Genomic DNA, 21987 nt, shown 5'->3' with positions numbered 1-21987 from the left:
CCAGACCCTAAGTCCAGGGAACATGTGTTCCAGTGGTGTAATGAGTCTTTAGGAGAATATGATCAAGGATCACTTCGTTTTCCAATTTTTCGTGATGTAATATGATGACTTATTTGACGTTGAACAAATTACCAATGATAGTTTTATTAACCATAAATCATGGATAGTTGAAACATCAGTGTCTCAAATCTGCCTGTTTTTATTTCAATGTGTTTTAATATTTCTTGAATATTATTTAGCAGATTTCTGGATTTCAAAAAAAAAAACGAAATCTAATAGAATAAGCGTAGTGGATTCTGCATTAAAGTAGCTATTATAAATTAAAAACCTTTAAGTTACAGAATTGAAACAGTGTTAATCCACATGAGATAAACACTAAAATCGGAGGTACATCTATAACTAGACCTTTCACATTAAAAAACAATGTGTTCTATGATTCTTTATTAAATACATTATGTAAATCTACCTTTATTTTGAGTGTTGTGGCTTTATTTTATCTTCTCCTACATGACTAAAATATGTAAGAGATTTGTCGTCCCCTGCTACATAATTTGCTTATTTAAAGAATTAGTAATGTATAGGTTTAGGAGTTACTGCACATGCTTTCATGGTTTATTTTAATCATCCCCATGAGGGAGTCAAAAGCTCCTTCACTGAAGTCTGATGTAAGTTCGCCACCTTGTGGTAATAATGGGAATAGATGAGGGTTTAAAAACAGAATTCAAGAGTAATGAAGCAATAGAGCAAAGCAAAGGTGCTATGTAAAAACTATTTTCCTGATTTAAAAATCTGAAAGAGAAAATTAACTTTTTTGATTAACATTTCGTATTTTTTCATGCAAACTTATGAGTTATCCTTTAATTACAAAACTTTTTTGTGTGTTTTTAATGTATATATACATATACTTATACATAAAAGTATATATGGAAAATTTCTCCAAAAAAGGTAAATATAATTTCAGTAAATCCTAGAAATCATCACTGCCAACATTTTGGCTTTTGCATTTCTGAAATAATTTACATAAGTGCATTGGTATGTGAGTTTTCATAAATTAAAAAGTGTATTCTCAGTTTAGCCGGGCGTGGTGGTGCATGCCTGTAATCCCAGCTACTCTGGAGGCTGAGGCAGGAGTATCACTTGAACCCAGGAGGCAGAGGTCGCGGTGAGTGGAGATCGCGCCATTGCACTCCAGCCTGGGCAACAAGAGCGAAAATCAGCCTCAAAAAAAAAAAAAGTGTATTCTAATTTTTTACCCAACTTTACATGTTAATAATCTCCCACCCTATTCTATGTTCTTTTAAGAATTAAGAATTCCATCACTATAATGATTTCTGGACACAATGGAACACTTTGCCAAGTTTTAGTTTTTAAAATTTTAAGTGGTAAACAAGTAAGATTGGAAATATTTGGATTAAACAAAGTTAAACAGGCATATTTTACCTCATGACTTCTTTGAATCTTTCAGTGGGTGCAAGGCCCTGAGACTCACCAAAACTAACATACCATATTTCTTAGTCTTAAAGGTCCTCTCCTCAGCAAAATATTGTACTAAATTTTGTTTCCAAAGAATTTATTATAAAGTATTTGAATAAATGTTAACTGAAGATTATTTTATTGGAATTTTTAAATTAGAGTTAAGGTACCCATAGATAACATCAAAATCAGGATGTATCTACTAAATTACTGTGAAGATTTTGTTACTAAAATTATAAGCTGATACTGTCCCTGTTATCCAAGCCTCAATTCTATCGGATCATTTACATGTCTGCAAAAACATTTCTTTTAGATTGCAGCCCAAGGTTGAGAGCTATTCTGTTCTACATATGGCCTGGCTTGCTTTTCCAAGATGGGATCTGAATGTCTCTCTTAACAATTGGATGTTAGAAAATACCTGTTATCTTGATGGTCTCATTAAACTGTTAAAAAAAGAGTATCACAGCTAAATATCTTACACAGCTAAACCTTCCTCCTATTAAGTAGTACAAACACATTCCAATACGTATTTGTATTTTATTTAATATGCATAATTTATGTTTTCTGCTTTTCTTGTAGAATTGAAACATAGTATTTCATATTAGACTTGGTTGTAGCAAAGGCATATTCTCCAAGGTACAAAGATAACTAGGAGGTCTTAGCTTCAGAGAACTCCTTGACGCGACTTTCAAATATGCATTCTCGTGTAGTCTTAACAAGGGATCTGTGAATGATTTTCTTCACTTTACAAATTAGAAAATTTAATGTCAGTTAAGTCACGTTTATATCATACATCTTAACATTTTATATCATACATCTTAACATTTTATATCATACATCTTAACATTTTATGTCATACATCTTAACATTTTAAGTTTTTTGTTTTGTTTCATTTGCTTTTGTTTTGGTAACGGTGGTGGTAGTTCAAGAACAGGTAACATTCTTTTGTCATACACCATATGACAGTATCTGTTATGGTTTTTAAAGATCTATCACATTTAATTCTTAAATTTTATGTAATAGTTATAATTATCCCCATTATATAGATATAAACAGAAACTGAAAAAGTTAGTGAATTTGCTCAAGATCACGTAACTCACGTTGGAAAATCAGGCATATTGATTCCACAGTCTCTGCACAGTACTCTCCTAAAACGGTTTACAATTCTGTCTTGTAATGTTTGTATTCATGCTGCTGACACTATACGGCATTCTGTGCATTATTAAGTCGCTTGGGTAAGTATTATCTTTATCCCCATTTTACAGATGTGGTAACTGAGCAACTTACAGGTTAATCAGCTCAAGGGCAAAGAGTGTGAAAGAGGCAACCCTGGGAGTCAGAGACCAGGTGGCCAGGATGCAAGGGACTTAATCACTGCACACCACACACTCTTATAAACCTGCTTTTGCTCACGAGGAAGCAATCTGTCCTTAAGGATTATCGCTCCTGACAGCCCAAATCACAGCTGGGCTCTCTGTCCTGTTGGCAGGACTCTTCAATCCCAGGCTGATGTGTGTGGAGAAGTACTCTCTGAGCTGTGTTTAATCTACAGTCTATTGCACAGCCACAAATGAATGCTTTGCACAAATGCATATGTATTGGTGTATGTGGGAGGAGGAAACAGTGAAGAAAGGTTCATTTTGAAGTGTTGTAGTGTCTACTTTCTAGGTGAGTGCTTTAAATCAAGAGCAATGATATGCTTATACACAGGACATTATTTTGGCTGACTAGAATATTTTGCTTCATTAATAGAAATCAATTTCCATCTTCTTTGGGTCGTTAGATCTGGATGATAAAATGGTGATGTCAATAAACCCAATAAAGTGAAATCAAGTTAGTTGGAGGGTCTCGTGTCTAAATACAATTTCAAGTAGTTCAGTGACAAAAAGCAATAGCAAATCGTTCCATCTATGTTCTTAGTGTTTTAACGTCAATGGGAAGCTCTATTTGCTATTCTGATAGAAACAAGTATAAAGTTGCGTGTCCCCTCTTGTGACCCTGGAAACTGTGTGAGGTACTTGGCATTTGGATTGTTACTTCTTTGGCTGCCACTTTATTACAAATAAATTTTGACTTTCCTTGAAATCACTAGGAAATAAAGCAGCTGGTTTATAAGGGACAATAGCTTAAATGATGAATATTGAATCTCGTAAGTAGAATAAGTCTTATGTAAATTGGTCGAGGAATATGTGCTTTGTCAGAAATAGTGAAAGAAGCAAAGACAGGATGCTGAGTTTAGTTTCTGAGAATACATGCTGCCCATAGCCACTACATGCTGCGTTGGAGACCGTGGCCTTGATTGGAAGACCATGGCCTTGAAGGTTAGTTCTCAACCAATAAACACATTTGTCAGAGTCTTCTGCTCTCTGGAATACTAAGGTATGCAACCCAGTCAGAGTTAACCTTTTGCTAAGTAATATTAATCAGTTAAAATATCTGTTGAATATTTACTACAAGCCTAGTAAGCTTAAGCCATTATGAGCGATTAAACATAAACATTAATTTTTAAAAAAGCATAGTCACAAGCCTCAAATATATACAAAAAAGATGATAAAATATACTCTTAAAACTTTAAAAATTACATGTGAAATAGGACTTAAGGAACAGCTAAGTTTTCTGATAGATTGGAATAATATTGTAAGACTGTTTAAGACAGGTTTATAGATTATAGGGTTCCGATGTGATTTGGATGGCAGAGTGGAGAAGGGGTATCTGGGGCAGGTAGAAGGAGGGAGTGGTGTGTGGACACGGTGCCGGATAGGTCAGGAGTGTGCTAGGAGCAATGGGCTACACACATTGGTGCACCGAGTGCACGCAAGTCGTCGAAAGAGCAATGAGAATGTAGGCTTGATTTGGTCTATTGGTGCCATTGTAGTTCTTAACCAGGAGAGAAATGAGAGTCTTTAGTGCATCATTGCATATATGCATTTCTGAGAGAGAGATTCAGACAATAACGAGGAAATTCGGAACCCAATATAATATTATACTTTGGGTGTCTATAAAACAAAATTTATTTTTGCCAAAGGTATGTACAATTTTATACATTGCTACTTTTTTGTTTGTTTGTTTTTGTTTGTTTGTTTTGAGATAGGGTCTTTCTCTGTCACCCAGACCCAGGCTGGAGTACAGTGGCGCAATCTCGGCTCACTGCAACCTCCACCTCCCAGGTTCAGGTGATTCTCCTGCCTGAGCCTCCCGAGTAGCTGGAATTGCAGGCATGTGCTACCATGCTCAGCTAATTTTTATATTTTTAGTAGGGACGGGCTTCACCATGTTGGCCGGGTTGGTCTCGAGCTCCTGGCCTCAGGTGATTCGCCCACCTCAGAGTCACTAAGTGCTGGGATTACAGGCGTGAGCCACCACGCCCAGCCTCTACATTGCTTCTTAACCATATCAGGATTTGCTTACTTGTTTTTATTTTTCATTTGCACAGCAATTCTTTATTAGCAAAAGTAAGGAAGAAAATACATGGAGAAATACCTAGGATATTACAAACACCCCCACCCCCCTCCTCCACACACACACACACACACACACACAAAGAAAAAAAAAGCACCACAAACAAAAGGGAGGCTAACTCCTAATTAACTGGCATATTTGCATAATTATTTAATGTGAAAAAGCATGTTAAAATGTGATTTATTGACATTCCTGAATTACTTATTGCATTCTTGGTAAAACCACTAATATGTAGTAACTGATCCTGGAACATTGATAGTTTCACAACTACCAAGCAGCAGAAACAGACACAATCCCATTTGGATTATTTGGAATTCAAATTTCAGTGCTCTTACCAACATACTAATGCACTTCACTCGATTACCAGAATGCAATGTTATTTTTATTTATATGTTTAAATTTTAAACTACCCCTTCCTATTTAATAATTATAATAATTTTTCCAACTCATAGAAGGTCGGTAAATATATAATTTTTAAAGGTATTTCCTACTTGATGGGTAATTATACTTTCAAAACGTATACTACAATTTGTTAGGTAATAAGTATTTTAAGCATTTTTACAAAAGCATTTTACAACCATTCTAATATAAACTTTGCCAAAATCTCCTTTATATGCTGCATACAAATTTTGACAACATTCACTATCTAATTAACAGACCTTATCAATTCTGCAAAAGCCATTATAGTCAGCTACAGAAATTCAAATTTAGTTGCTTACTAAAGAGCAGGTCTTTACAATAATATACTGGATTGTTAAATTTTACATTATGAAAGGTTTATACAGAACAGTACTTAACAAATCATTAGCAAAATAAAGTGTTAAGCGTGATACTTTTTTTTTCAAAATGACTACTACATATTTTCTACTCTTAATTTTCATTTTCCAAAATTACTATTATATGCTTTTTACTCTTTAACCAGGAACATAAAGTCAAAATGAACAGAGAGGGAACTGTTTGGGTTGGGGGAGGAGGTAGGGGATGAAGAACCAGGAAGAATCACATTGCTTGAATTAGCTATTTCTTTGCCTTACTTTTGGTTTTCAGAATTTGAGTGTTTTTTTTTAAAGGATTTCTCTCGGAGTATTAAAATACAGTAAGTTGCCTTAAGTATATTAAATTGCAAAGTATTGTTTTGACAGTTGTGGTTAGTGTAGCAAATATAGTAAAGAAGCTAACTCTAAAACTTATGTAATATACAGTTTTGAAAGTGAAAAATAAACTCATTATAACATGACTGCAGTGTCTAAATAGTACTGATCATTAATATATCTTCATTTGTCAATCATTGGAAATTCATATGTTTCATGTGCAATAGATTTTGCTAGAATGCCTGTCCTTAAAAGGATTGTAGAGCCTTTATTGAAAAAAAGAAACACTAGAATTGCATTTTATCTGATACATGGAGTGAATACAAAGGTAAAAACAAAAGTTAGCTTTAAAAGCACTTTCTGTAAGCAACCATCCACAATGCAATATTACTATAAAGACTGATCACTTAAAATATTCTGTCACTCCAATAATGAAAGAAATGTATTTTTCCTTATATTGAAATCATATCTAACATTTTACATTGCTATATTAAACTCATGTTTTCTCATCATTATTTAGCCATATTTTATACCTTCTTGAAGTTCATATTTTACCTCTCAGTCCCCTCAATGTGCATTGTAATCTGGAGATAATGATCATTGTACATCAAATCACTAGAATGTATGAAATACATGCGTAGTAAGCTAATTTTATCACCATATATATTAAATGTAATAAGCATAATATATTTTTTATGTTGTTCAGGATTAATTTTTTCATGATTCTGAATTTCCATGGCATTTTGTTTTTTCGTATTCTTAAGTAATGTTACAGGGTTTGCTTTAGTGTATGTTATTCATTAGTACTTGGTAAGTATATGTTTTTCAAAATTATTTAAAAATTTCTATTAGGTGTTTTTGCACAGTAAAACTAAATTTATACATTCTTTCTGTATAAAGTATAATTTATGCCCATGGTAGATGCTTCAGGTTTGCTAAATAAATATGCCTACTTAAAAAAATGTGGATAATGTTCTTCATTTTAATGATGGAAAATACCCTATGGCATTTTTACAAGCTGAGCCTCTCTAGAGGAATGCCAGCACTCTTAGTAACACAAGAAATAATTACCACTACGGCACCGTTTCTGAAAATCGCACGGCAGATCATTTATCTCAGTTTGTGGCAAATTATTCTAATCTTTTTTTTTTAGATTTGTAATGTGAGTGATTTACTACTGAATGTCAGTTATAACTTTCCTCCTTTGTCTTGTTCTTCTTCTTTTTAGCTCCTTGTGAAGGCAACACATTCTTCTGCCATAGTAACATGTGTATTAATAATACTTTGGTCTGCAATGGACTCCAGAACTGTGTGTATCCTTGGGATGAAAATCACTGTAAAGGTAATGATTAGTGCCTGAAATTTGAAAAAAATTTCCTCCCTGTGGAGTGGGGTAGAAGTTTATATGTATCAATCAGACAGTCTTTAAAATAAGAGTGTATAGTGCCTTTTATGACCACCGCATATGTCTTATAATTGATTTGTAAGCGTTTTTCTTAGCCTTTACTCATGCTCTGTCCAGATGTTCCGTTATTAGTGCACAGTGGACTATCCTCAGTACTTGAATTCTCATTAAAGACATCACCTTATTAGAGCCTGCAGAGCTATGAAAACGGGAGCTTTCAGGGGAGCACACTACTTTCCTGTCATGTGTGATGCTGTCTGCTTGTGGCTACACGTCTCATTCATTCCAGTTTGTCTTGATTGGACTTTGTGTACATACTCTAGAGATAAAATGTCTTGAACTAGCATTTGTACTTTCAGTTACTTCCAGCTACTTCACTCCACTTCAGTTTTGCTACGAAAATGCTTTTCTTCCTTTCCCGGGAACATAGCTCCCAAAGCCCTTGCCTCCTTCCCTTGTCTATACACAAAGGCTTGTTTATGTGAACAGGGATCGTTGGCTGGATTATGGATGTTGCATGTTTTAGTTAAGATGAAACTGCCATGTGAAGTATTTTACTGAGATCCAATATTAAACAGTTGACAAAAGAAGATAGGCAAATAACTCTTTCATGCTTGAAGTCCAGTATTATCTACTAAAAGCCTTCTGTGCATAGAAGTAAAGAAGTAATACCACAGTATTCATTGTTTCATACAGTCAGTAGGAGAGGCAGTTACACTATCAACTATTTTGTTGTTGATTACTTTCGTAATCCATTACTTTTGAATGGATTAGAAATTTACTAAGTGATCTTATTGCAGACCTGTTAATAATTCGTGGTCACCACTGGCTTTGTTTTGCCCTATATAAACGTGGTCCCATGTGTGTAAGAAATATTTGACATGCAACAAATGTGAATGGATGTGCATTATGAAAGTCCATATTTATTTTTTTCAGAAAGAAAAATGATTCCTTTAGCCTTTAATTCATTCTCTTGTGATAGGGGAAAAATTGCATTCATTTCTAGTTTATGGAGGTTATGCCTATGGCGAGCATGTAGTGTAGCCTAAAGTTTGTCCCATGTGCACTTGAAAAGAATACGTATTTGCTGTTGTTGAGTGGAGTGTTGTATAGATGCCTGTTATGTCTGCTAGGCATAAGCCTATAAACTTAAACAAGCTATAAAGCATTGTTCAAGTCTTCTGTTTGCCTTTGATTTTCTGCTATGTTTTATCCATTATTGAAAGTGGGTGTTAAATTTTTCAGCTATCATGGTTGAATTGTCTACTTCTCTCTTCACTTCTGTAAAATTTTTCTTTCATGTAATTTTAAGCTTGGGTGCTAAATTCATATATGTGTGTAATTGTTATATCTTCCTCATGACGCTTTTATCACTACAAAACAATCTTCTAGAGTTTAGTGCAGTTTTTTGTCTTGAGTTATATTTTTTCTGGCATTAGTATAGCCACTACATCTTTCTTATGGTTTGGTTTCCATTCTTCTTTTCCACGTTTTTACTTTCAGTCTATCTGCATGTTTGAATATAAAGTGTTTCTTTTGTAGACAGTCTATATTTGTATCTTATTTTTTATCCAGTCTGAAAATCTTTGCCTTTACATTGGGTTCTTTAATCCATTCACATTTAGTACTGTCATTGATATAGTTGGACTTATATATTCCATTATACTTTTTGTTTCTAAATGTCTCATGTATTTTTTCTCTTTTCCTTCTTTATTGCTTTCTTCTGCCTTAAGTTAGTATATTCTAGTCCAACATTTTAATTATTTTAGAGTTTTTAATGCATTGTTTTACTTTCTTAGTTGCTTTAGGACTTAAAACATACAGCTTAGCTTCTCAGAATGTATTAGATTTCTACTAACTTAATTATAGTGAGACATAGAAACATTCTTCCTATATAGCTCTATTCTCTTTTCCTTTTTCCAATTATATTTGTACCTATTACATTTTTAAACGTTACATACCCAACAATACATTGCAATAATTATTACTTTATATAACTGTATGTCTTTTAAAGTGGTTGGGAGAAGAAAGGACAGCAAGTATATTAGTGTAACTTTTTATATAATCCTTCTGATTTACTATTTCTGGTTCTCTTCATTTGTTTTTCTAGATTTGCATTACCCTGGTGTCATTTCCTCACCCAATAACATTTTAGCTCCCACCTTGTTTATACTATATTGTCACCAAATATATTGCATTTATGTAAGCTATAGTCCAACATTACGATTATATACATAGAACATTGCTTTTTTAAAAGAGTTAAGTGAAGACTGCAGAAGAAAGATGCCACTCTACTGTCCTTTGCAATTATTTACATATTCACTGTTACAGACCTTACTTGCTTCCCTGTTTAATTTAGTATCTGTTCAATTTTTTCATGTGGATTTGAGTTACTGTCTGAACTCACTGGTTTTCAACATGAACTCTCTTCCATATTTATTTTAAGGAAGCTCTTTTATCATTGAATTATCTTCATTTTTGCCAGTCTCACAATGTCTTTCATTTGTGAAGGCAGGTTTGCTGGATAATGGGTTTTTGGTTGACAGGTATCTGCTGGGGTTTTGTTGTTGCTGTTGTTTGGTTTTATTTTGTATTGCTTTTGCTTGCAGCACTGCATGTGTCATCATGTTGCCTTCTGGCCTCCACTGATGATAACTCAGGTGTTAATTTGATTGAGGCTCCTTTCTATGATGAGTTTTTTTTTTCCTCTGTTGCTTTCAAGGTGTTTTATTTATTTATTTTAATGTTTTCAATATCATATGCCTTTGTGTGGATCTCTTTGCATTTATCCTACTTGGAATTTGTTGAACTTGGATGTGAGTTTTCTAATTAAGTTTGGGAAGTTTTAGCTCCTCTAGTTTTTTGTTGTTGTTGTTTTTCCTGTTACTTTCCATCTCTCCTTTGTTTCTTATACTCCCATTACAGTATGTTAGTGTGCTTGTTGATTTGCCACATTTTTTTTTCTGAGGCTCTGTTATTGTTCTGCCTTCTTGTTTTGAAACTCATTTTCATATTGCACTATTCGCATGCCTCTGTCTTTATAAAGTTAGCTGATACTTTCTTCTTCCAGCTGAAATGTACTGTTGAGGCTCCAGGAAGTTATCATGTTAGTAATTGTACTGTTCAATTCTAGACTTTACATTTTTATATGATTTATATTTCTTCATTAATATTCTCTATTTGATGAGCATTGTCCTCATTTTCTTTAGCTTCTTCAGTCATAGCTTGCTTTAGTTCCTTAGACATATTGATTATAGCTGCTTTGAAATCTTTGCCAACTCCAATATCCGGCTCCCCAAAGGGTCTTTTCATTGCCTGCTTTTTTTTTTCCTATATATACACTTCGCTTTACTGTTTCTTTACATGTATTATAATGTTTTGTTGAAAATCACATGTTAGATTAGTAGCATCTCTGAATACTAACTCCTTCCTCCCAGGACTTGTAGTTTTTCTTGTTTGTTTCTAAATGTAGACTTGGCTGGACCATTTTAGTGAAGCCTCTGATGCTGCACCACAGAGGCCACCGCCTTGGACTTCGCACCATCAGCCTTGGGCAACACGGTTTTAACAGGGCTCTCTGTGCCTCTCTCATTTCCTGTTCTCTCTATTTAGCTATCACCTCTGTTGGTATTGCAGCCAGTTGTTAGTCTCCACCAATTGCCGGCTGATTGCTCTACTGCTTTTGACAGTGCCCAAGATCATAAATTTTTCTACAGTCTAGTCAATTAAATTTAATTAATTGCAAGGGTAGTCCTTGAGTCTAGCCTTTGTGAGTTGTTATAACCCAGGAGGACTCTCATTAGCTGTTACTCTCCTAGCTCGTTCTGTTAAACTTCTAGATGTTCTAAGGTTCGTCTTATGGCTCTTAAGACACTAACTGTCTCTTAATTGCATACTTAATTGCACACTGCCTCTTAAATGCATACAGCACTCGGTATTCCCAGGTGGTCTCCTATCCAAGTACCAGCCAGGCCCTCATAAAACACTAAGAGGCAGTTAGTGTCTTTAGAGCAATAAGACGAACTTTCGAATGTCCAGAAGCCTGTGCATACCACAAAATCTCCATAGTTTTTGAAATTATCATTAGGCTTAAGTTTCTCCACACACCATTTCAAATAAACTAACTTTATTTAGGGGAAGCTATAATGCTTTCTGTACTTTCAGCCTGACTCTCTTTCTGGGCACAGCTTCTTCTGGGTCGGGGCAGGAACAGTGGTACAGGTCTGTTTATGCACAGAGCACTTGGGTGAGGTTGCTAACATGTGGTGTTGTCAACTTGCCACTCCAGGCAGCTCTCCTGTGTCAGCAAACTTGGGTAAGCATGATCCAAGCCTGGCATTCTCCACTGGAGACACCTGGTGTTGAGCTCCTGCCCTCCAAGTGAAGGCTGAGAGGAGGAACCTCGGGAGCCCCAGACATCTCAGCCACTCAGGCCAGAAAAGAAGCATGTCCAACATGGACCTGGTTGGGCATTGAGAAATGCTGGTAGCTTTCCCCTTCTAAGGAGATTCCATAACTCACTTAACTGGGAGCTGCAGGGAGAGGGTGCCCTGCGTTCTTGTCCACACCTCCCTGAGTAGGGTTCCCATCGTGGTGAATCAAGAGTGGAGGAAGCAAGTCATGGCTCAAATGCCACAGACTCTCACTGGTCCTAAGGACATTTAGTAGATTGGTTTATATAAATATATTTCCACTTGATGTACATCATTAGGACAATTTCCTGAGTTTCATTAAACCAGGCTTTAATTGGTTGAGTTTTTAAAATAATTTTCTACCAGTTGTGATTATTTCATTTGGGAAAGAGTCCATGCCATCATTCCAAAAGTGTGTGTCTTCAGATTGAATTGAATTATCCTTTGGTATCAGAATATTGTTGTTACTTTATAGATAGATTGTGTGTGTGTGTGTGTGTGTGTGTGTATTTTAAGATGAGATGCTGGACGATGGGGAGGGGGGCTATTTTTAAGACTGGTCAGTGTATTTTTTGTGAAAAAAGAGACTTTGTATTTATTTTAAAATATTTTCTTAACCTACGATAGATTAGATAGATAGAGGATTGTGTGTGTGTGTGTGTGTGTGTGTGTGTGTGTGTGTGTGTATTTTAAGCTGAGATGCTGGGCAATGGGGAGGGAGGGCTATTTTTAAGGCTGCTCAGTGGATTTTTTTGGTGAAAAACGAGACCTTGTATTTATTTTTAAATATTTTCTTAAGTTATTATAAGCCTGTAAAAATTCTGTGCTCAGCCTGCTTTACTTTAAGTTTTTAATACACATTTTGACTATAATATTAATGTTTGCTGCGTTGCTTCTTCTTTTGTCCGTTTGTTGTTTTCACTCTCTCCAACCTATAGAGAAGAGGAAAACCAGCCTGCTGGACCAGCTGACCAACACCAGTGGGACTGTCATTGGCGTGACTTCCTGCATCGTGATCATCCTCATTATCATCTCTGTCATCGTACAGATCAAACAGCCTCGTAAAAAGTATGTCCAAAGGAAATCAGACTTTGACCAGACAGTTTTCCAGGAGGTATTTGAACCTCCTCATTATGAGTTATGCACTCTCAGAGGGACAGGAGCTACAGCTGACTTTGCAGATGTGGCAGATGACTTTGAAAATTACCATAAACTGCGGAGGTCATCTTCCAAATGCATTCATGACCATCACTGTGGATCACAGCTGTCCAGCACTAAAGGCAGCCGCAGTAACCTCAGCACAAGAGATGCTTCTATCTTGACAGAGATGCCCACACAGCCAGGAAAACCCCTCATCCCACCCATGAACAGAAGAAATATCCTTGTCATGAAACACAGCTACTCGCAAGATGCTGCAGATGCCTGTGACATAGATGAAATCGAAGAGGTGCCGACCACCAGTCACAGGCTGTCCAGACACGATAAAGCCGTCCAGCGGTCAGTATCAATAGATTTTTTGATGACAACTATAACCTGAAGACTGAAATACTTCCAGAGTATTGTCTTCTATTTTGTCTTCATATTTCAGTTTCCCTTTAATTAATGATTTAAACCCTAGTTTTCCAATAGTTTCCCTCTTCTTTTTCCTTTTCACTGCTATCCATATTCTTCCTAAACCTCATACATGTGCACGATATGTATGTGTGTGAACACACATGCACACAGAGACCAAAGATACTTTATTTATTTCTAAACATATACACATATTTATTTTATAAAATGATGGCTTTTAATTTATAATACAGATTTATAATGCAAACTTACTTCCATGTGACCATTGCTCCCATCAATATTTATATATTTTGAGATATGAAATGATATTTGAAAACGATTGCCTTACCAAGATGGCTCACCCATCTTGATGGACAATTTTAATCCCAAAATAACATATTTTTCAATATAATGTATTTATTTTTGGTAGGAACACAAAAATACTTTTCTTTCACATATTACATAATATTTATATTAGGAATTGCATAGGATAGTATAGTATATTCATCATTTACACTTAAATGTTGTAAGAAATAGTAGAAACATTTGATTTATTTTCCTTCAACTATAAATGCAATATTATCTGTGTTGTAGTATTAGCCTTAAAATGAGTAAAAGTTTTGAGAAAAAACATTTAAATTTAGGAAAAATTATTTTAAATTCCAAAATCTTGTCAACTTATACTTCGTTTTGCATGTTTACTAGCATTTAGTTTATTTTATAAATCGTGACATACTTTCTCCATTCATTACATTCTCAAAACCTAAAATACTTCAGTTGATTTGATATGTTTTGCATGCTGACATAAGTCTATTTCCACAGTTTTCTGAATTTTAAAAATGCTTTTGAGTAAATATTTGTATACATATTTTTTTGTGCAAATAGTACTTTGTTGAATGAAATAGCCATAACATTCCAGGTTCTGCCTCATTGGGTCTCTAAGCAAACATGAATCTGAATACAACACAACTAGGGTCTAGAAAGAAAATTCAAGGTAAGCAGATGCCCTTGGTTCCTTTTCCTACTTTGTCGTATTCTGTTTTGTTGCAACTGTCTTGTAGTTTTTTAGGGAATGTGCTATTTATCCATTATTTCTTGAGATATGTGTTTCATGACATTTCACAATTAGAAATACGATGGGTTCAGTGTTTATAGGAGAGATGATTCTCGGGATACATACCTTTAAAACAAATCTTAGTATTCTTAACATCAAGAATTGTACTAAAATGTAATTTAGAAGGACGTCAAATTAATAATCTAAACTTTACATGTTTTAAGGTAAAGTTTTAATGAACTATCTCCAAAGAAATACTCGAAAAAAACCAAGGTTTTTAAACTAAGAAAATAGAATATTCAGTCTCAGTATAGCTGAAGTTAATATTTAAAACTGGTAACTACTTTCTTTATGTAATTTGGCAACAATTGTACTCAAAATTCGTACACTAAATATTTTTGGTACTGACACAATTTATAGACTCTTATTTTTGCATGAATATGTAGCTCATCTCATCAAAATTAAATGCAGCATGTTAAGTCAAATTTTATACTATAAAATTTGAATGCAAAAGGTTTCATTAATCCCAGTTGTCTACGTGTACATCGATTTTGTCATCAGATATCACAATGGCTTTACTTTTTGCTCTTGATTGTTTATATCTATATTAGCCTAATTTGTCTCCAATTGAATCTGCTTGACAGCTAATCTCTTCTAAACTCCTCAAGCCTATCAACTATTCTTGAACTAGGTGAATGCATTTCCATGCTCTATATTACCTTAATAAATTGGTGTATTTGTATGCATTTTTCATTGGGAGAAAATGTTTTAACTGTTTTTTATTTTCAGAGAAGAACTATTTATACAAACATGGGGACTGTGAAAAGAAAATTCTATAGTGAATTGTGAAAAGTGGACATATTTCTAAATTCATTCCACTGCCTTTATCCAAACTTAAGAATTACAGACATTTGTTATTCCTTCGGCAAGACATCCCCGCTGCACACTGATATGTTCATTTCGTAATTTGGTTGCTGGCCACCAAGTGCTCCTTAGTTTTTAAATACATTTTGAGATTAACTGGAAACTTGAAGAAGAAATTAGTTCCCGATTAAGACTATCCCAACTTTATTTTTATTGTCAGTTTCACTTTTGTTTCTATGTTGTTTTATGTCTTTGTTATATAATTGTACATTGTGTGATATGTGAAAAAAAAACACGAATTTGGATGAACCTTGTGTTACATGTACATTGTTTTCATTATATAGACAGCTTGAGAATAGTGCGTTCCTGAATGATTTTGAACATGCTACAGTGAAAAGTGACAGTGTGGACCATGGAATCACCAGCTAGAGGTTATGGACTATACACACCTATTATTATATTCTGATTAAATACAGGAAAAAGTAACAAGTAAAATTACTAGATTGCAATAAAAAAATTCATTTTTTGGTCTTTCCTGTATACCCCTGATTTCCTTTTTGTTTTATATCAAAGAAAGTACTGAGTTTCAGAAATCCTTTTTGAAGTCAGGTATTTTACCATTCATACTCTACAGTAGAAATGTTTTTGATTAAGCACTCAGCAATATGACCAAATTGACAGTTTGAGAAAATACCCTGCATGTCAGTACTGGATATTTGAGTTGGGAAAATATCCTTTTTGTTAGACACATTGTGAAAAGCATGCATTGTCAAATACTGTTGTTACTCTTCCATTTCTTTATGTCATATGCTTGCTACTTACGACTTTTTATATAAATATATATAAAATGTATAATAATTTCCTAATTTGAGTTAAGAGAAATGTTTTCTTCCATTAGAGTGATTAAAAAACTGACTCACATAAATACACATTTTATGTCAACTCTTTCCACCTTTTAGGGTACAGGATGTCCTTCAGTATTGAGGTTTACTTCCCAAAATATTTGGCTTCTAAAAGTTTAGGGGAATATTTTCTTCTTTTAGAATAGGGAACTCTTTTTAAAACTGCTTTAAAATCACAAGCCCTTTTATGAATTAAACCACCATTATGAATTATTCTTATTCTCAGGTACACATAATACACCTGAAAGCTTAGTGATTATGATGTGTTTAACATAAAGTAAAATCCTAAAATATATTTTACTGCTATTAAATTATATACACACTCTGTAAAGTTTGATTTGGTGAGTGGTTATTTTTTAAAATATTCAATGTGTAATCTTACAAAATAAATTTTTAAAATAAGAATTACTATCAGTATATATGCTTCCCAACATTTTCAAAACTACTGAATTCTCCAGGTTTAAAGAACTCTGTCCTTCCACTAACAGAGCAGTCTGGTCTACTAAAATTTGGACTTTGCAATTCAAGCAGGCTTTGCAAACTAGATGAATTACTGTTATACTTCCCTACTAGGAATACAATGTCATATATGTTAAAAAATAAGCAAATAGAAAATAAATTTTTATAATAGAAAAGTCAAAGAGTTATCATAGCCATTATAAACACTCTATCTTGAAAAAATGTCAAGCTACAGAATCACTTCAATGAATTTGATAAACTAGGGAATCAGAAAAGGTTTTGAACATGACAAAGATTATTTTTCATTGTTATGCTACATAGTTTTATACACATTGCTTATGATAAAATGTACCCTTTTTTATTTGGCTTGACTGGTTTATTTATTACCATGGTTCCTTTTTTGCCCTTTAATTTAAAATTAATACACCAAAGATTTTTTTAAAGGATTAATCATATCTTATATTGCTTTCTCCATTTAGAAATCTTCAGAGGACTCCTTTCCCTTTGAATGATAATCTCAAAAGTATGATATAACTGTCAAGATTTTTTATTTGTAACAGCAATAAAAATAGTGAAATAAGTTAGGTGAACATTTTACTATTAATTTGTTCTATAACTGTCCGGCATGTCCGTCCCCTCCAGTTTCTCCTGAATATACAGAATGCTGATTCCCTGCTTAAAAGGTATTTTCACCAGAAATCTACCAATGGGACTTTAAAAAAAAACACTAAATGAAGTATAATAATAAGAATGAATAGCTCACATATATTTAACACACAGCAGCTTCATGGGAAAACAACTGTATTTTAAATGAAGAACAGGCCTCCTCAGTGATAACTCTAAAATTTCTCAACAATGTACAGACACAGACTAATCATGAAAGAAGATAATGACGATGCTGGGCAGTGTCTGGAGGTAGCCTTTTCTCCTGGCATTCACTCTAGATGCTCAAACTTGGGAGTGCAGCGCTCTGGCAGAGTTGGGAGATGTTCTCTGGAGGGCTCTGGCGGTGCTTATTTATCAGCCAGTATTGAAATTTGTCAATATATCAAAAACGATTTAGTAGCTATATCAGACCTTATCACCTGAATGCAGCCTTTGGCCCACATTCTAAAGGTGGTGACACACATAGATAAGGAATGAGATGTCTCAAGACTTATAAGACATGTTATTTTAATAAATGATTATATTTTTTGATAAAGTGAATTCAAATATTACCAACCCAAGTGCTTTATTGATTTAACAAGATGATTTCAAATAATGCATTAAGTTAGCCTGCTGTGTTAATTTCATAAAGCTATTCTTTTTCATTTTATTTTTTCAAGTTTTCATTCACTTTTCAAAATAATGGTAGCATATAATCACATGCAATGCCAATGAATCCCCATATTAAGCTTCGTACTTCTGTCCAAATGTATTGTAGTTGCCTAATTTCAAGGTTCTAATTTGGAAATCTGATTTATTTTGTATGTTTTTATATACATACCAATTTTAAGCATTATCTTGCAAAGTAGACATAGGTGGTGTTTGATTTGCCATAATTAACTTGAATTTGATTTTGTAACCAAAATGTGGCTGTCCACATAATTGGAGATCAGTGTCTTTGGGCTTTTAATGGAGAACAAATCACATTGTGGTGTTGCTGGTTTTTCTGTTTCACATTTACTTTTGCTCTAGAAGTATTTCCGTGAGTCTGATGACTCCATAAGTTATGATCCTCAGTGTTAAGTAACTTAGACGGTTGGCATTACTTTAATATTCACTTAAGCTTCTGTATCATTTTTTTCTGTATTTTTCCCTTAGGAATTTAATTCGGGTCTTCCTCAAATTTTACAGCTTTAAAAAAATTCCATGAATGGGTTTTCCTCAACCTCAGAATATCATAATAAATTACAAGATATGACCCCCTGGTTCCTATTACCTTGATTAAAGTGGCGGCAATTAATTTACTGATGTTTTGTCAGTGAAATAAATAATAGCATCTTATGAAGTTTGTGTATCTCTGATGAAAATGAGTCATGTCAGATTCCCTCTCTGAAGGGAAGTTAAATAAACAACATTTTTAAAATTCTTTGAATTCTAAATAAATATGCTTTGAAAAGTGAGTTAGGGTTTTGTCTAATTGCACTGAGGCGAGCTAGCTTCGGTGCCATTTTTCTCTGTGCCCTTTTCCCTCCATGGATTCATTTCTATCTATTGCACTCTAGCGTAAAGGACCCAGCCAAGAAATTGTAAAATAGATTCAACAACAAAATAAACAGGTCTTGAGTTAATTATCAATCTCTATGCACTTAATTAATATTTCCCAAGCCCATCTTAAAGGTGTAATAAGGTAGAAAAATAAAAGTACACTGTTAAAATAGCCAGAAATGTTTTTATAAATAATCCTGCTAAATAAATCTGAGGCCCTTTGTTAATTTACAATTATGATTCATTTTATTAATAAACTTGTTTGAATTGTACCACAAATTTAACTGAATTGTATCATCAAAATAAATAAAACAGGGTAATAAAAATAACAATTAGGGTGACTGATGTCAGACACTCATATCAACTCATCATTTTCTTGTAGCCTCTGATTCTGTACTTTCTTGTGTATTATTAAAGAGGTAAATGCTCTCTTAAAATGCCTCTAGTTCCTCAGAGGTAGGAAAAATAAACTCAACCTGCTTTGGACTTGTGTATTTACTTGGGTTGGTTTCCAGAATCTCCTTATTCCTGAAACAGTATGATCATGTAGTTAAACTACTCCTTTATATCTGTAAGTACTGTGCAGCCAACATGTTCTTTTTTGTCCCCAACTTCTGCCATCTTTCCAACCTCTGAGGCATGCTATTTTATAGTGGTTTGCTCTTTGAAAAATTGTTTTTGTGCCCTCTCTTAATAGTCACAGATACTGACACAAAACTTAAAAATGACCAGAAAACAATGTATAAATTATTTAAAATAAAACATTCTTTTTATATCACATTATCAAATTTGTACTCTTTATTCACTTTTCCATTAAGTGTGATATCAATATAGCTAGGCTGTTTTGAGCTTGCACAGTCTGTCTACCAAGCTCCTTCCTAAGTACTTTGAGGGTAAAATGAAGAAGGCAGTCTAGGAAGGAACACAATTACAGAGCCCTGTAGAAGGCAGACTGCTTACAGGAGCTGTATAAGGAAAATTAAGCCCAACATTATGTGCTGTGTTGGCCATCATGCAAAGCTGATTGCAAAGCCCTGGTTACCTCCTTCATCATCTTCCATGGAAGATAAAAATAAATTCAAATGTTAATTCAATAGACATGATGCTTTATAATGAAGAAGTTTGTAGCAGAAACCTGAGAATATAGGTATCTTCTTAAGATCAAGAGAGGCTTTGTGAATAACTGACCTTCTAAGCAGGTCTTGAAGAATGGAGACAATGGTCAAATAGTAGTGCAGGGAGAAATTTCCACCTAGAGTAATTAAAGCAGATGTAGGCTCAGAAGATCATCTAATTGAGCTGGTTGGAACATAGACAGGAGACATACTAAGTATATTTGACAGAGTAGGTTTGAGTTTACATCATGATTTCTGAGTGCATGGAATACTATCCAAAGGAATTTACACTTTATTCAAGGGAGAATATTTTAAGATCTCAGCAGAATGGAACTTAAGATTTCTACTTTCAGTAGAAGCCTCTGACAGGTATGTTTGCTAAATTGAATGGGAGTGAAATACAGTAGAATCAAAACAGTGTAGAAACAAGACATGAGAAAGAGTAACGGGCAGATTGTTAGATGTCCAGGAATATTTGTCTGGCTTTTTTACTTCTACTATACTTTATTGTTTCAAGGTGATGGTTGACTAGCGAACATACTGAGGGTCACATGCCAAACACCATTTTGAGTGTTTTACATGTAATTTTTTTCCTTGGTCATCTTAGCAATTCTATGACTAATTAATAATATTTGTTGTTATTTATTGTACAGATGAGGAAACTGAAGAGTTTTAGTAACTTTTTTAAGATTACACAATAAACAATGATGAATCAAGCTTTGAAGCCAACCTCACCAACCACAAGATCAACCAACACTCTTCACCAATGTGTAATATAACCACGTTAATATTCAACATAGTACGTACTGCTGAAAGAAGTTGATACTTATTCATATTAACCCCGTAGTTTTGTGTTTCCTCATCTGTAAAAGTATGTATTATAACACCTTCTCTCCACCTTACAGCGTGTGAGGTTCAAATGACCATTCATTGGAAGATATTTTTTATATCCTATAATGCATTATAAAAATAAATCATTTTTCCTAAATCATGTGTAGACTTCATTTTATGATCGACATGGAACAAAAGTATCATCTATAAAGAGTAACAATGTAGAGTAACCCCCCTCAGAACTTGTCCACCATAAAATATATGACTTTCCAAATCCAATGACTCTGTGTCTGGATGATATTTCTTCCAGTGCTGTTTTGTTGCATCATCATGTCAAAGTGCTGTTGTTCATCATCTGTCATTCAACATTGAATGCCAGAGCTCCTGAGTAACCCCCAAAGCACTCATCATGAAGTATACACAGAAATAGCAACACTGGAAAGCAAATCTTGTATTTCAGTCACAGATAATTGTTTGGCATAAATTCACGTAATAGCATCCTGGTAGATAAGCAAGGAAGTAGACAGCTGTGTTGGTAAATGCAGTTTCATAAGCAACATTACAATATATAAAAGTGGTGTACTGCAGTGAAAATCAAATTTAGTTTTATTTCTTACTATTTATGTGCTCTTTAAAAATCTGTTTGAATCCTCTGAGTTTCACCTTTACTTTCTCTTTCTTTCTTTTCTTTCTTTCTCTCTTTTTCTTTCTTTCTCTTTTCCTTTCTTTTCTTTTCTTTCTTTTTCTCTTTTTCTTTTTCTTTTTTGAGACAGTCTCACTCTGACGCCCAGGCTGCAGTACAGTGGGGCTATCTCAGCTCACTGCAACGTCTGCCTCCTAGGCTCTAGCGATTTTCATGCCTCAGCCTCCTGAGTAGCTGGGATTACAAGTCTGCACCATCACCCCTGGCTAATTTTTGTATTTTTAGTAGAGATGGCATTTTGCCATGTTGCCCAACTCCTAGCCTCAAGTGATCTACCCACCTCAGCCTCCCAAAATGTCAGAATTACAGGCATGAGCCAATGTGGCCCTCACCTTCTTTATTTGTAAAATTGAGGCTACACCTAGTGAAGAAGGTTTCTGTTAACATTAGAACTCGGCCAGACATGGTGGCTCACACTTGTAATCTCAGCACTTTGGGAGGCCGAGGCTGGTGGATCATCTGAGGTCAGGAGTTCGAG

General features: G+C 34.4%; 1 protein-coding gene and 1 pseudogene across 10 annotated transcripts in view; one reads left to right on the top strand and one right to left on the bottom strand.

Moving 5' to 3' along the window:
• The window catches only part of NETO1 (neuropilin and tolloid like 1), a 125674-nt gene extending 104589 nt beyond the window's left edge, over positions 1–21085 (top strand). For 2 of the 10 annotated variants that reach the window (NR_148694.2, NR_148695.2), the window contains exons 8-12: positions 7252–7365; positions 12779–13337; positions 14311–14385; positions 15090–15136; positions 15235–19643. Coding sequence is in view for 8 of the 10 variants with exons in the window: in NM_001201465.3 (NP_001188394.2) it covers positions 7252–7365; positions 12779–13337; positions 14311–14371 (734 nt within the window). In the remaining 2 variants the exon portion in view is untranslated. Of the gene's footprint in view, positions 1–7251; positions 7366–12778; positions 13338–14310; positions 19644–20628 lie in introns of those variants that run through there. The other 8 variants (NM_001201465.3, NM_001354018.2, NM_001354017.2 and 5 more) reach the window with 5 other exon arrangements.
• On the bottom strand, positions 11348–11447 carry RNA5SP460 (RNA, 5S ribosomal pseudogene 460; annotated as a pseudogene).
• Positions 21086–21987: the final 902 nt, after the last annotated feature.

This window comes from Homo sapiens, chromosome 18, assembly GCF_000001405.40.
Source record: "Homo sapiens chromosome 18, GRCh38.p14 Primary Assembly".
Classification (NCBI taxonomy): domain Eukaryota; kingdom Metazoa; phylum Chordata; class Mammalia; order Primates; family Hominidae; genus Homo; species Homo sapiens.
Note: the sequence above shows the minus strand (reverse complement) of the source record. Positions and strands in the feature narration are given on the sequence as shown.